This window comes from Homo sapiens, chromosome X, assembly GCF_000001405.40.
Source record: "Homo sapiens chromosome X, GRCh38.p14 Primary Assembly".
NCBI classification, from domain to species: Eukaryota; Metazoa; Chordata; class Mammalia; order Primates; family Hominidae; genus Homo; species Homo sapiens.
In genome coordinates this window covers 11,850,699-11,867,868 of record NC_000023.11, presented here as the reverse complement: position 1 = coordinate 11,867,868, position 17,170 = coordinate 11,850,699, and the positions used below count along the sequence as shown (strand labels likewise).

Below are 17,170 nucleotides of genomic sequence, written 5' to 3'. Positions count from 1 at the left end.
TGGAAATGTGCTGAGGCAGGCACTTATTTGGTGCATTCAGCGTGGTTAGACTAGAGCAGGCGAATAAGCACAAGACTGGTGTGAGATGAGGTCACAACAGAACACAGGGGTAGCTGCAACCCCTGGCCAGCATGCCTATGAGTCAATGTCTCCTACAAACAGGGGACACGCTCCACAGGGCATGACTGAAAATGACCCATTGGGGTGCAGGCTGAAAATATCAGCATTTTTATTTAAATGTATTTTTTGTCTAAAAAAATAGAAAGAAATTAAGCTTTGCTAATTAGGTCATATAAAGATTGCCACTGGCACCCTCTCTCAGTCAGGATGTCTGAAGGTTATGAATCAGGTATGGTACTGGAAATTTCCCAAGGTGAAAGAGTTATCAAGGGGTCTGTCAGAGCACCCGCAATACGTTCATTCTGTTGCAGCTGATATATGCCTTGTTAAGTGAATTCACAGATTATATTATCTAGCTGTAACTAAGTGAATACAATTGGCTTAAAAAGCTCTGTGCAAAGGAATCAAGCATTAGAAACAGAGTTAATAATGGAAGTACAAAAGGAAAGCAAGAAAATAGTAGACTTTACATTTCTGCTTCTACTATAAGCCCTTCAAAAGCTATAGGTTTTGGGTAAATACAATAATTATCTAATTCAACACTTTCAAAAGTGTTTGATCACCAGATTTCATATCATGATTCAGTATTCAGATATGCATATATGGACATGTAAATATATACAGCTATAGAGATACAGTTATATAATTGAAATGAGAGCTTTTCAGAACAATACTTAATAATATACTCTGATATTTTCTCTATTTTATTAAATAATTATTATTAATATTGTAATCCCTCAATAGGCTGTTGTGATATGCAATTTGAAAAATACTAATACAATCAGATCCAAAGAGAAATCAGCCAAAAATTGAAATTAAGGAGACTATCTGAAATATGGATTAACATCCATTACTGTTAACTATTAATATTACCACAAAAGTATATTTCCCCACTTAAAAATTGGCTAATAGTAGCATGAAGTCACCACAGTTTGAAAAATATTTTAAAAATTAAACATCCAGACCAAGAAAACAAACCACTATAATATTTTTCAGTAATATTAAAAACACAAGACAACCTTCAGTCCATTACTTTAGAAATTTTACTAAACTTAATGCATGTTTAAAAACCTATTTTAAGATCTCTTAATATATTAATCTAGTTGTATATGTATATATTATTTGTAATGATCTATATACATATACAGACACACATCTATACTGACATTCTTACTATTTGTTTTTTGTTTTTCTCTTACCGAGGTGATATGTGAACAAGTAAGCTTGAAGACCATCACTGTAGCTCACAGAATTTGTCTACTCTGTATCTTCAGTGGCCATCTGTGGATTTCCAGATCCCTAGAATGGAGGACTCTGCTTCTTCACCTTGTTTCTCCTACTATTGCCTAAACCCAATGTTCTTGGCCCTTTATTACCTGAGCTATTAGCCTGGAAACTGTTAAATAAAATTTGTGGAAGGCCTTTGATTTGGGCTGAACTCCTGCATGAGGCCCCAGTAGACCAACCCAAAATGGAGTCACTCTTGCTAAGGTTACACGTCACCAAACTGAAACCTATACTGTTTACTTGTAAGATCTGACCTTTTTAAGAAATCAGAAGAGAGAGGATAGCCAAATCCCATGAAGCCAACAGGATTCCCTATAAGGAAAGTAACAGAAAGGACCAATCTGCTTTTCGTTCCTTGTTTCTGCTTTCTTCAGCTTTTTCTGCCTAAAAAGCCCACCCTCTCTGCTCAGCTAATGGGAGTTCCTTTCTGTTTTGTAAACTGGGTACTGTCCAATTCATGAATTGCTAATAAAAGCCAATTAGACCTTTAAAACTCAATTTCTTGAAATTTGAGTTTTAGACATAACTGTACCTACTTGCAAATTCTTGTCCCCACAGAAAGTATTAATGAACATAAGACATCATAAGAGACCTGGCCATATAATAGTTACATGTCAAAGACTTGTATGAGTCAGTTGATTTTGATTCAGCTCACTCTACAGTTGGATATCCATTTAGAAAAACAAAGTGTGTGAAAGTTCTGGTTTATCCTGACCACCACTCAGTTTGCCAGTAACATATTCTGCCCTAGTTAAGAGTACTAACTTTGGAGAGAGACAAACAAACCTGGACTAGTCATATTAGACATATGAACCTCAGCAAATGTCTTAGCCTCCCTATGCCTCGGTTTCCATATTCATAAAATGGTGAAAATACTTACCTCTAATTAATCCTGCTATAAGGGTTGATTAGAAAAATCTATGGAATGCACTTTAGCACTAGGCTCAGCATAGAATGAGTACTTTGTAAGCTGTAGCTACCACTATTGCTATTGTTATAGTTGTCTTTGCTGTGGAGATTTAGTTCTGTGTGGTACATCTTTATATGTCACATACAGCTCTAGATGAGCTTTTAAAAAAACACAAGGTAACATATTTTCATGTTCATGAAGAAGAAAACAATACCATCCTAATTATATTTGCAACAATACTAAAATAATCTTTTGGTCAGACTGGCACTGTTGTCTTGGCCACTTTCTATTTCACAGCCACTAGGTCAACTCTCAAAATGAATATAACCACTTACCTGTATATTTCAAAGATGATGATGACATGGAAGGGCAAGGTTTGGGATCCTGTATTTTATTTTCCACTCTATGGGATACATTCAGGTCACTAAATCAACTTATTTTTTCACTTGGTCTCTTTTTCATTCACCTACAAGAAAAATGATACCTGGTTTGACTATCTTCTTTGTATAAAATGTGTTACACATTTTTAAAGAACAGCATAATTCACTCAGTTTTACTCAATGCAAAAATTTTCCTGGAAACATCACAAATGGATGTCCTTTTCTACCTCTACCACCCTCAATTTAAATAATGGTCAATTTTATGAAACTATTGCTAACAATGAATTATAGTGTAGGGCTTTTTCACATTTTTCTGCACAAGAACATTTACTAGAAAAAAAAATCCATTTTACTAGAGAGGGAAACATATTTTACTATAAACAGAATAGTCAAGAATGCCAACAAAATCAAAGAGCCATAAGGTCAATGGAAAGTGTCCATTAAATTTTTTTTCAATTTTGGAAGGCATCTTTGTTCTTAGTGGGAAAGCAGATGAGTAGAAGTCTTGATGGATAAACAGGACGTCAATTCACCAGAATATTCACAAAGCAACAAAAGAATGACAGGATAGCTTTGCATATAAAGTCAAGAGGCATGATCACTTTTCAGTTTGCTAAATAACCCCTCAGTCATTCAGGAAGAAATATACACTTTTCCCAAAGGATATCAAAAGCTCCTACTGTACAATTGTGCATGCAAATCAAAAGCACTGGTTATTTTCTTCTTCCCTTCTGCTTGCAATGTTTGGTCTTGGCTTAGTCTTGTGGGCTCAGGCATCCCCTAGGTGGCTTCCTCTGACCTCATCCCTCCCACATGTCTAACCACTCCTTTAGTGCTGCCAATGCAATGCCCTTAAACTGCCCTCAGTCCACACCCAGGATCCTCTCTGCTTGCTCCCTCATCCCTTCACTCTTGTTAACTTTCCGAGCAGTCTTTATTTATTCATTTCAGTTATTCCCGTAGATGTTATTTTCATAGATCCATGCAATGTGTGTGACTTGCCAAGTCCACAGCATTTGTGGGAATCCAGTCTTCCCCTCCTCTGCCTGGCAGCCTATTATCTCCTTCTAATAGCACCTGCAGCAAAGTCACAGCCTAAAGTTGTGACATTACCATGATATCCAAGCCAACCAATGGCAAGGCCCTAAACATAGAAGTATTTCAATGCAAGAGAAAGCATAACACAAATCTGAGTAACAGGCAAACAACATACAAGCTTCAACATATATCTTTATTAGTATTAAATCGAGTCAAAGTCATTTCTGACTGTCAAAAGAGTCCTTTCACAAATTATTCAAAGAAGGAGCACTGTAAGCTAAGACATTGTATGGCCATGCCAAAATTCCAGATAAAATGTATTGAAAGGATACTGAGGGAAACAAATAATGGAGAAAAACATTTCTAAGCTATATTCATCAAGCATTTAAGACATCAATTCTTTTTACCTCAGAAGCACTGAACTAGGGGCAGAAATTATTATTATTCATTATTTTTAACTTATATTGAATTAACTAGTGTTAATCTGTTTTTTTCATACATAATATTTATGACTTTGGTTGTAGTTTATGATTGCATTATAAAATAATATGTGTCATCATTCTTTTAATAAGGGAAAGAATGTAAATTACTTTCTACTACCAACATCCAGGGTAGCCTAGGGGGTGCTGTAGACCTCCATAATCTTCTTCAGTTCCCACCAAAGTCTCCTAAAAAAATTCATGCAATGTAAATAAAAGCAGCAGACTTGTTGTACAAACATAGCTTCAAAAAAATGTGGCACATATACACCATGGAATACTATGCAGCCATAAAAAATGATGAGTTCATGTCCTTTGTAGGGACATGGATGAAGCTGGAAACCATCATTCTCAGCAAACTATCTCAAGGACAAAAAACCAAACACTGCATGTTCTCACTCATAGATGGGAACTGAACAATGAGAACACATGGACACAGGAAGGGGAACATCACACACTGAGGCCTGTTGTGGGGTGGGGGGAGAGGGGAGGGATAGCATTAGGAGATATACCTAATGTTAAATGAAGAGTTAATGGGTGCAGCACACCAACATGTCACATGTATACATATGTAACAAACCTGCACGTTGTACATATGTAACAAACCTGCACGTTGTGCACATGTACCCTAAAACTTAAAGTATAATAAAAAAAAAGAGAGAGAGATGCATCAAAAAAAAAAAAAAAAAAAAAACCAAGTTCCCTAACCACACACCTCCAATCAGGTTGCTACCCTTAAACACCTTAGTTAGTCCTAGTCCACAAAGTTATAGACATCAAGATGAGATCAAATGTAGATTATTTATTTATTTATCTATTTATTAGCAAAAATGCCTGTGTAAAGAAAAATACGGACAAAGCTCAGCAAGCTAAGAGAACTGACAGACTCAGTATGACTTGGATGAAAGAGTCCTAGACTTCCTTAATGTCTAAGGAAGGTTCAGCAAAACTGTCAGGGAGTTCCTGAGCCAAGCTCAGCCAAGGAAGGGGTCTGTCTCCTGGGACAGTGCATGTTAGTATCCCCATCATGCTCAGTCATTGCTAGGGAGCAACCTTTATGGTGCATCATCTACAAGGGATTATAGACTGTAGGAGCTGGAGCCCTGACACAACTGTAGGAGGTCTGTAAGGCACATTATCAGAGCCAACACTCCTATACCACTTCTGTATAGAAATTCAAGTGTTTATGCTTACACAATAAATTTTGAGCCTGGCATCCAAATTTTCCCCAATCTCTGCCTAATCCATGTGTAAACTTTACTTTCTAGAACTTCTTTTTTGCCACTTTACATTAGCCTAAATACCCCTTTGGTACCCATATGAGCCCCAAAGACCACCAAAATGCTTTCAGTCTTGCTGTTTCCTCCCTCTACTACATTTCCACCTGAAACCTTCTTTTCAATATCCTACCTACTTTTTAAGGGCCATTTGAAAAGCCATCCCAACACTGATAAGGTTTGAATCTGTGTTCCACCAAAATCTCATGTCAAATTATAACCCCCAATGTTGGAGGTGGGGCCTGGTGGGAGGTGGATTGGATCATGGGGGTGAATTTCCCCCTTGGTGCTGTTCATGTGATAGTGAGTGGGTTCTTGTGAGATCTGGTCATTTAAAAGTGTGTGGCACCTCCCCCAACCCCTTGCTCCTGCTCCAGCCATGTAAGACGTACCTGCTTCTCCTTTGCCTTCTGCCATAATTGAAGTTTCCTGAGGCCTCCCCAGAAGCCAAGCAGATGCTGACCTCATGCTTCCTGTACAGCCTATGGAACCATAAGCCAACTAAACCTCTTTTCTTTATAAATTACCCAGTCTCGGGTATTTCTTTATAGCAATGCAAGAACAGACTAATACAAACACTAAGGTTGAACTCATAACTCTTATCCTCACCATGCTCTCAACCCCATCCCTAGTAGAAAGGTCCTCTCTCACCTTAGAACCTCTATGGGACTTTACCTACTTGGAGATGAGAACTTGGAGTATTTAGCACTTTCTTTTGCTTTAGTTGTTGTAAGTTTTATCTCTATAGTAGACCTCAGGTAGGATTGTACCTATTTCTAATTAGTATTGCCATAATACCATGCAAACCATAAATTGAATAGGCAAATGGATAAATTAGTGAAAGACAAATTCTGACCTGGTGCTTACTATCTATCCAGGAGTAAAAGTTAAGCTAAATGACCTTCTTTATTTCATATTTTGTTTTTTGTGTTTGTGCTGATTTTCTTTTAATTTTATGAGATAAGCAGGAACTATCAAACCCAAAGTACTATTGATCCTAACATTCAAGGGAAAAAAAAAAGAAAAAAAATCACAGACCTGATAAGGAATATATCATCACTGCTGAAGTCATGGAGGAATACACATAGTACAATGAGCCACATAGCAAATTGACCCAACAAATGACTCTTTCTTGAGAGATTTGAGTATAAGGTCCTAATAATACCTCTTCAGCTATCTATTTCCTTTTTCTCAGCTATCACTTATCTCAGACCTCAGTGTCAATTTCATATTAGAGCATATGCCTCTTGTTCATCTTTGTATCAAACATAACCATAATTACTAAAAAGAAATAAAATTATTAAATACCTCAAAATTTTATGAGTCACATGACAGAGACTAACTTCTTTATTTAAATTTTTTAATTAAATACTTTTTGAAATAATTTCAACTGAATTCAAGAGTCTCGATTAAAAGGAAAATCTTCAAATTGATTCTGCTCTTATGTGAATAGAGAACCTTGTAAACTTTTCAATAAAAGAACAATTAGTGGTAAATGAAGATTAATCAAACTTCATCTCCCAGGATAATAAGGAATGTGAGATTTACAGAAAGCCCTTAAAACTCATCCCACCTCACTTTCAGCAATGAAAGAACATCTATTACTAACTTGGTTTAGGAAAAACCCAAACTGACTTACAAAATGTTTATTTCTTTCATGAGTTCATTTATATCAGATTTTAAGAACCTCATTAGATGTTTCCCAGGCAGAAACATTTTTCTCCAAGACAATTCACCTATTTTAAATATCATTAAAGTGTGATTGGCACACATCCTGTGGGGAGCTGACACCCAGAGGGAGAACACAATACTAATAGTTAGTCAGGTGCCAACTGGCTCTAAGTTGCCAATTCCTTTTCAGAGAAAAACTAAGTATATCTAAGCAAAGGGAACTTTGATGATAATCAGGATACATTCTGTAGCATCAAAATTCTGCTTAGCAAGGGATAAATCAAGATTGCAAACACCACCTGAGTCAGAGTGTCTTCAATCACACAGTCCAGTTAAACCCTGAAAGCAGCTAACTTCAGGCCAAGATCCCATAGATGATCCTCAATCAGGCAGTTCGGCTTCTTGCATGTCAATCAAAAAGGTGATTAGCCTGAGACATAGTAACCAAGTGTAACAAGTTTGCTTAAAATAAAATAGACAGCCAAGAACCACAGCAACCCATTCTTAAAGAGAAAACAATATCTTGATAAGTGATTCTTTTCTAAATATATGCCTATTACTGTATATTTGAGCTGCTCCAGCAAATGCATCTTAATTTTATATTGTCCCAAGGAGTATCCTTGTTGCATTTAATTGGTAATTTGACTCATTTAAGTGAATAATTCTTGGGAGTTTGCCACATGCAAGGCAAAAATTAAACAAAGTTAGTAGAAGTGACAGTCTGGATCCTCCAGTATAAAGGGTAGGACAAGTGCACACAACAAAAGGAAGATACTGAAAAGAAAGAAAAGGGCATGGGCAGAGTGGAAACATCAGGAAATAGCAATGAGCATTTTATTTGAAGTGGCAGCAGCAGCTAGGGGTTGACAGGGCAGTGGGGACAAGAATTATAAGTACAATCTTAGTGTTGGATTAGCTTTTAAACCTTAGGGAAACCACTTAATGTAACTGAAAACAAACAAACAAACAAACAAACAAAAAACAGAAGCAGGATGGTAGAAATAACCCAAAAAGCAAAATTCTTAAAATATGTGGAGAAAACCATTTCAGTAATTCCTTCCTGACTTTGAGCTTCAATGTTATTTCTAAAATAGTTATAAATTGCACAGCAAAGCAAACTACTTAGCTTCTAAAGCTTCTAAAACATGAAAAGGCAGGAATACAAAGTCTTGGAAAATGGCCTTCCTTACTTTATGCAAAATGAAGCAATTCTATTGTTCTGACATTTTTAAAAATTATCCTAGAAAATGTCCACCTTATCTCAAGATTCTAACTCAAAAAATGATCAATTCTAAGTTTGAAAGAACAAAGGTAAATATATTTTACAAAACTTTATCATTTGAAAACCTGAAATTCCTTTGAACACTGTGTAATAAAGTCTCAAAATATTGCATAATGCTGTGCTTTGCTTCTTTGCTCCCTGCTTTTAGCTATTATCTCACCTTTATTGCAGAGAATAAAAATTTATATCCTGGGCAATTTTGTCCTTCTCTGCAAGTGTAGTTCTTCCCATGTGCAGAAAATGAATAATTTTTTAATTAAATAAATGTCAAATAGTTCAGTTTATGCATAGGAATGGCCTTAATAAGCCTATATTATGTACGCAAATGTTGAAGAACATGGTGAGGAAGCAAATAATATTTTCACTCCTTCAGCTGTTTATTAGAACCAAGGATAGGAAAAAATAAATTATTTGACAGCTAGATTTTTAAGGATTTCTGCAAGTATAATATTTGCTTTCTTATTAATTTACATTATAAACACATCTTCTTATTAAATTTACCTTAGTCAGGAGAAGAGGAAGAAGCCTCATTTACACAGGACATTATGAACTGACTGAAAGTGCATTTCACAGGATATTTTTTAGGTAGAATCAACTTCTTTACTTCTTTGAGAGTTTTCATAGTAAGCATTCTTTTAAGTTTTAATTTTTATTTTTTTCTTTTATTTTAAATTTCTGTGGGTAAAACAGGATGACTATAATAAGCATTCTTATTTCTTAACTTTTAAGTTCAGGGGTACAAGTGTAGGTTTGTTATATAACTAAAATTGTGTCATGGGGGTTTGTTGTACAGATTATTTCATCACCTAGACATTAATCTTAGTACCCAGTAGTTATTTTTCCTGATCCTCTCCCTCCTCCCACCCTCTGCCCTCTGAAAGACCCCAGTGTGTGTTGTTCCCCTCTGTGTCCATGTGTTCTCATCATTTAGCTCCCATTTATAAGTGAGAACACGTGGTCTTTGGTTTTCTGTTCCTGTGTTAGTTTGCTAAGGATAATGGCCTTCAGCTCCATCCATGTCCCTGCAAAGGACATGATCTCATTCTTTTTTATAGCTGCATACTATTCCATGGTGTATATGCACCACATTTTCTTTATCCAGTCTATCATTAATGGGCTCTTAGGTTGATTCCATGTCTTTGCTATTGTGAATAGTGCTGCAATGAGCATACACGTACATATGTCTTTATAATAGAATAATTTATATTCTTTTGGGTATATATCCAGTAATGAGATTACTGGGTTGAATGGTATTTCTGTCTTTAGGTCTTTGAGCAATCACCACACTGTCTTCCACAACGGCTGAACTAATTTACACTCACCAACAGTGCATAAGCCTTCCTTTTTCTCCACCACCTTGCCAGCATCTGTTATTTTTTGGCTTTTTAATAATAGTCATTCTTACTGGTGTGAGATGGTATCTCATTGTGGTTTTGATTTGCATTTCTCTAATGCTCAGTGATGTTGGGCTTTTTTACATATGATTGTTGGCTACATGTATGTCTTCTTTTAAAAAGGATATGTTCATGTACTTTGCCCACTTTTTATAGGGCTGTCTTTGTTTTGTAAATTTGTTTAAATTTCTTATAGATACTGGATATTAAACCTTCGTCAAATGCATAGTTTGCAAAAATTTTCTCCTATTCTATAGGTTGTCTGTTTGATGATAGTTTCTTTTACTGTGCAGAAGCTCTTTAGTTTAATGAGATCCCATTGGTCAATTTTTGCTTTTGTTGCGATTGCTTTTAGCATTGTCATGAAATCTTTGCCTGTGCCTATGTCCTGAATGGTATTGCCTTCCAGGCAATAGGTTGTCTTCCAGGGTTTTTATAGCTTTCAGTTTTCCATTTAAGTCTTTAATCCATGTCAAGTTAATTTTTGTACATAGTGTAAGGAAGAGGTTCAGTTTCAATCTTCTGCACGCGGCTAGGTAGTTCTCCCAGCGCCATTCATTGAATAGGGAATCTTTTCCCCATTTTTGTCAGGTTTGTCAAAGATCAGATAGTTGTAGGTGTGCATTCTTATTTCTAGGTTCTCTATTATGTTCCATTTGTCTATAGTTCTTTTTTTTCTTTGTACCAGGATCATGATGTTTTGGTTACTGTAGCTCTGTAGTACAGTTTGACATCAGGTAGCATGATGCTTCCAGCTTTGTTCTTTTTGCTTAGGATTTCCTTGGCTATTCGGGCTCCTTTTTGGTTCTATATGAATTTTAAAATACTTTTCTTTAGTTCTCTGAAGAATGTTAATGGTAGTTTAATAGGAATAGCATTGAATCTATAAATGGCTTTGGACAGTATGGCCATTTAAAAAATATTGATTCTTCCTATCCATGAGCATGTCATGTTTTTCCATTTGTTTGTGTCATCTCTGATTTCTCTGAGCGGTCATTTGTAGCTCTCCTTGTAGAGATCTTTCACCTCACTAGTTAGCTGTATTCCTAGGCATTTTATTATTTTTGTGGTATTTGTGAATGGGAGTTAATTCCTGATTTGGCTCTTGGCTTGACTGTTGTTGGTGTCTAGGATTGCTAGTGATTTTTGCACATTGATTTTGTATCCTGAGACTTTCCCGAAGTGGTTTATCAGCTTAAGAAACTTTCGGGCTGAGACTGTGGGGTTTTCTAGATATAGAATTACATCATCTGCAAACAAGGATAATTTAACTTCCTCTCTTCCTATTTGGATGCCTTTTATTTCTTTCTCTTGCCTGATTGTCCAGACCAGAACTTTCAATACTATGCTGAATAGGAGTGGTGAGAGAGGGCATCTTTGTCTTGTGCCAATTTTCAAGGGGAATTCTTCCAGCTTTTACCTATTCAATATGATACTGGCTATGGGTTTGTCATTTATGGCTCTTATTATTTTGAAGTACACTCCTTCAATATCTAGCTTATTGAGAGTTTTTTTAACATTAATGGATGTTGAATTTTATCAAAAGCCTTTTCTGTATCTATTGAGATAATCGTGTGATTTTTGTCTTTATTCCTGTTTATATGATGAATCACATTTTTGATTTGCATATGTTGAACCAACCTTGCATCCCGGGAATGAAGCCTACTTAATTGTGGTGGATAAACTTTTTGCTGTGCTGCTGGTTTCAGTTTTCCAGTATTTTGTTGAGGATTTTTGCATCAATGTTTGATACAGTTTGTCTGTGTCCCTACCTAAATCTCATCTTGAATTGTAGTTCCCATAATCCCCACATGTTGTGGGAGGGATCAGTTGGAGATAATTGAATCATGGGGGTGGTTTCCCCCATTCTGTTCTTATGATAATTAGTTCTCATGAGATCTGATGGTTTTATAAGCGGCTTCCCCTTTCACTGGGCACTCATTATCTCCCCTGCCACCCTGTGAAGAGGTGCCCTCCTCTATAAGTTTCCTAAGGCCTTCCCAGCTGTGTGGAATTGTAAGTCAATTAAACCTAATTCCTTTATAAATTGTCCAGTCTCAGGTATTTCTTCATAGCAACATACGAACAGACTAATACAGTTAATTGGTACTGCAGAGAGTGGGGTGCTGCTGTAAAGAAATCCAAAAATGTGGAAGTGACTTTGGAACTGGGTAACAGGCAGAGGTTGGAACCATTTGGAGGGCTCAGAAGAAGACAGGAAAATGTGGGAAAGTTTGGAACATCCTAGAAACTTGAAGGGCTCAGAAGACAGGAAGATGTGGAAAAGTTTGGAACTTCCTAGATACTTGTTGAATGCCTTTGACCAAAATGCTGATAGTGATGTGGACAATGAAGTTCAGGTTGAAGTGGTCTCAGATGGAGATGAGGAACCTGTTGGGAACTGAAATAAAGGTCACTCTTGCTATTCAAAGATACTAATGGCATTTTGCCCCTGCCCTAGAGATCTGTGGAATTTTGAACTTGCGAGAGATGATTTAGGGTATCTGGTGGAAGAAATTTCTAAGTGGCAAGGTGTTCTAGAGGTAGCAGAGCATAAAAGTTTGGAAAATTTGCAGACTAACAATGCAATATAAAAAGAAAAATCCATTTTCTGGGGAGAAATTCAAGCTGACTACAGAAATTTGTATTAATAATGAGGAGCCAAATGTTAATCACCAAGACAATGGGGGAAATGTCTCCAGGTCATGTCAGAGACCTTTGTGGCAGCCCCTCCCATCACAGGCCCAGAGGCCTAGGAGGGAAAAATGGTTTCCTGGGCCAGGCCCAGGGCCTCCCTGCTCTATGCAGCCTCAGGACATGGTGCCCTGCATCCCACCTGCTTCAGCTCCAGCCATGGCTAAAAGGAGCCAACATACAGCTCAGGCCATTACTTCAGAAGGTGCAAGCACCAAGCCTTAGTATCTTATACATGGTGTTGGGCCTGTGGGTGCACAGAAATCAAGAATTAAGTTGTAAGTACCTCTACCTAGATTTCAGAGGATATATGGAAATGCCCGGTTGTCCAAGCAGAAGTATGCTGCAGGGGTGGAGCCCTCATGGAGAACCTCTGCTAGGGCAGTGTGGAAGGGAAGTGTGGGGTCAGAGCCCCCACACAGAGTCCCCACTGGGGCATTGCCTGGTGGAGCTGTGAGAAGAAGGCCATCGTCCTGTAGACCCCAGCATGTTAGATCCACCAACAGCTTGCACCATGCACCTGGAAAAGCTTCAGACACTCAACTCCAGCCTGTGAAAACAGCCAGGAAGGGAGCTGTACCCTGCAAAGCCACGGGGGTGGAGCTGCCCCATGCCATGGGAGCCCACATTTACATCAGCATGACCTGGATGTGAGATATGGAGTCAAAGGAGATCATTTTGGAACTTTAAGGTTTAATGACTGCCCCATTAGATTTCAGACTTGCAGGGGCTTGTAGCCCCTTTGTTTTGGCCAATTTCTCCCATTTGGAATGGGTGTATTTTACCCAATGCCTATACCCCCATTGTATCTAGGAAGTATTACTAATAACTAACTTGCCTTTGGTTTTACAGGCTCATAGGCAGAAGGGACTTGCCTTGTCTCAGATGAGACTTTGGACTTGGACTTTTGAGTTAATGCTGGAATGAGTTAAGACTTTGGAAGACTGTTGGAAGGGCATGACTGTGTTTTGAATTGCGAGGACATGAGATTTGGGAGGGGCCTGGGGCAGAATGTTATGGTTTGGCTGTGTCCCCACCCAAATCTCATTTTGAATTGTAGTTCCCATAATCCCCTTGTGTTGAGGGAGGGACCAGGTAGAGATAAATGAATCATGGGGGCAGTTCCTCCATTTCTTTCTCATGATAGGGAGTTAGTTCTCACAAGATCTGATTGTTTTATAAGGGGCTTCCCCCTTCACTAGGCACTCATTCTCTCCCCTGCTGCCCTGTGAAGAGGTGCCTTCTGCCATGATTGTAAGTTTCCTGAGGCCTCCTCAGCCATGTGGAACTGTGAGTCGATTAAATCTATTTCCTTTATAAATTACCTGGTCTCAGGTATTTCTTCATAGCAGCATGCCAATGAACTAATACAATGTTCATCAAGAATACTGGCCTGAAATTTTGTTTTTCTGTTGTATCTCTGCCAGGTTTGGGTATCAGGATGATGCTGGCCTCATAGAATGAGTTAGAAAGGAGTCCCTCCTCCTCCTCAATTGTTTGGAATAGTTTCAGTAGGAACAGTACCAGCTCTTATTCGTACATCTGGTGGAATTCAGCTGTGAATTTGTCTGGTCCTGGGCTTTTTTTGGTTGGTAGGCTATTTATTACTACTTCAATTTCAGAACTCATTTTTGGTCTGTTCAGGGATTCAATTTCTTCCTGTTTCTTTATTGGGAGGGTGTAAGTGTCCAGGTATGTGTCCATTTTTTCTAATTTTTCTAGTTTATGTGCATAGAGGTGTTCATAATATTCCCTGATGGTTGTTTGAATTTCTGTTGGGTAAGTGGTAATATCCCCCTTGTCATTTCTTATTCTGTTTATTTGAATCTTCTCTCTTTTCTTCATTTGTCTAGTTAGCAATATATATTTTTAATTTTTTTTAAAAAAATGGCTCCTGGATTCATTGATCTTTTGAAGGGTTTTTTCTTTAGTTCAGCTCTGATTTTAATTATTTCTTGTTTTCTGCTAGCTTTGGGATTTGTTTACTCTTGGTTCTGTAGTTCTTTTAGTTGTGATGTTAGGTTATTAATTTGAGATCTTTCTAACTTTTTGATGTGGGCATTTAGTGCTATAAATTTCCCTCTTAACACTGCCTTAGCTGTGTCCCAGAGATTCTGGTATGTTGTATCTTTTTTCTCATTAGTTTCAAAGAACTTCTTGATTTCTGCCTTAATTTCATTATTTACCCCAATGTCATTCAGGAGCAGGTTATTCAATTTCCATGTAAATGTATGGTTTTGAGTTTCTTAGTCTTGATTTCAAATTTGATTGCACTGTGGTCTGAGAGACTGTTATGATTTCAGTACTTTTGCATTTGCTAAGGAGTGTTTTACTTCTGATTATGTGATCAATTTTAGAATAAGTACCACAAGGCGATGAAGAGAATGTATATTCTTCTGTTTGAGGGTACAGAGTTCTGTAGATATCTAGCAGGTCCATTTGAACCAGTGCTGAGTCCAGGTCCTGAACATATTTGTTAATTTTCTGTCTCAATGACCTAATATTCTCAGTGGGGTGTTAAAGTCCCCCTCTATTATTGTGTAGGAGTCTAAGTCTCTTTGAAGGTCTCTAAGAGCTTGCTTTATGAATCTGGGTGCCCCTGTGTTGGATGCTTATATATTTAGGATTTTTAGGTCTTCTTGTTGAATTGAATGCTTTACCATTATGTAATTCCCTTTTTTGTCTTTTTGGATCTTTGTTGGTTTAAAGTCTGTTTTCTCAGAAACTAGGATTGTAACCCCTGCATAGTAAGAATTCTTTTAAAGTACACACAGAGAATTCTACAGGATAGCATATAGACTGGGTGACACATCAAGTCTCAATAAATTTGCAAAGGCTGAAATCATAACGAAGTATATTCTTTTTTTTCTTTTTCTTTTTTTTTTTTTTTTTTTGGAGACAGGGTCTCACTCTGTCACCCAGGCTGGAGTGCAGTGGCATGATTATGGCTCTCTGCAGCCTCCAGCTCCAAGGCTCAGGCAATTCTCCTACCTCAGCCTCCTGGACAAAGTATATTCCATTACCATAAACCCTGAGAAAGTGAAGTGTGGCCCATATTACTCAGAAAGCCTGCTGCTCCCTCCTAATGATACATAAGTAGTTCCTAAATAGAAGATTGTGTGGCCCAGATGTTAGTAAGCATAAAGTGGCTACATAGGAATACCTCAATCCCCACCAAAGCCACCTTCCATTTTTTAGCCTAATGGGCTGAACTCTTATTGTCAGCTAACATCCAGTGAGAAAGTAAGTTTTGCCACTGGACCAAAACAAAGACTCTTTTCTTAATCATGCCAGATGAAAAGATTTTATTAACTTTATGATAAAGAATTAGAAGTTGATGGTAGAACCCCACTGTCTATCTCTTAGAGGTTTTTTTTTTTTTTTTTGTATAATATTTACACCTAAGTTACTTCAGGTAAACTGCATATAATTCACATCCCAAGGTATGAGTTTAACCATTCTCAAAAATTTCTACTGTCATCATACCAAAGCTAAAGTCAAGTACTTCCCAAGATCTTTTGTTAAAATCCAATAGAAGTGTTGAAAAATTAAAAATTCATTTCTTAGGTCTTTGTCTTAGAAACCTTATAGAAAGAAATGTAGGCTGCTTTTTTTGAGGAAGATAGTTAGCATTAATCTGAAAGGAATCAAAGAAATGAACAGGGAAAGGAATGATTAATTTCTTCTTCTGAAATAACCATATTTACTTATTCTCTACCATAAAAACATCCTGCCCACACAATGAGACATAATGTCATGATAAAGCCAAGTGTCAACTACTTACTTATTAAAATGGGATACTATTTGGATACCTAGTAAAGGTGCTGTTTCTACTGTGTCTTAAGGAACCTTAGTTGGGTTCCCCTGAACTCATTCAGGGGCCGTGGAACATGTGACATAAAAGTCAGGGGGCAACCAAGCACAGCCAGAGCTCTCATTTTATTCCTTTTGTTTACTCTTCCAGTAATCTGTCAATGGAGAAGGGTCTATGACTCTAAAATTGAAAATCATTGGAGACAGATTCATTTCTGGGATGAGGAAATCAAAAATCCTCTCCCCATGAAACTGGACAAATCTGTTTAAAAAAACAACAACCATTTCAGCAATCTGAAACTTGACCATGAGCATACAACAAACAGAGAAACATTTATTCATGAAAACGACTGATCTTCAGGTAGGAAGAGCTTAAATCTGTGGCATTCTTACCTGGGCCTGCTCCCTCTAGCACCTTTCCACCCCACCTGTGCCAGTTCTGTTCATGCAGTAGTTCAACCGGGGCAGGGTAAGTCATGAACATCAATAGCTTCACTATGTCCACCAGAGGAGGCTCACTTGGTTGTCTTTTACTAATTTTTAAAAATTGTGGTAAAATATACACAACATAAAATGTACCATCTTAACCATGTGTAAGAGTACAGTTCAGTAGTGTTAAGTACATTCATATCATTGTGGAACCAGTCTCCAGAACTCTTTTTATCTTGCAGAACTAAAATTCTATATCCATTAAACAAGAGTTACAGCCCGTTCTTTGTTTTCCCCAGCACTTGGCAACCACCATTTCACTTTCTGTCTCTATGAATTTGACTACTGTAAGTACTTACCTGTATAGAATCATACAATACTTGTCTTTTTGTGACT

At 37.4% G+C, this 17,170-nt stretch overlaps 1 protein-coding gene across 2 annotated transcripts in view; it reads right to left on the bottom strand.

The window, feature by feature from the left end:
* FRMPD4 (FERM and PDZ domain containing 4) overlaps positions 1-17,170 on the bottom strand; it is a 902,085-nt gene that overhangs the window by 856,655 nt on the left and 28,260 nt on the right. For both annotated transcript variants that reach the window (NM_001368398.3, NM_001368395.3), the window contains exon 2: positions 2,653-2,783. In NM_001368398.3, coding sequence (NP_001355327.1) covers positions 2,653-2,680 — 28 coding nt within the window. In that variant the 5' untranslated portion in view covers positions 2,681-2,783. The remainder of the gene's footprint in view (positions 1-2,652; positions 2,784-17,170) is intronic.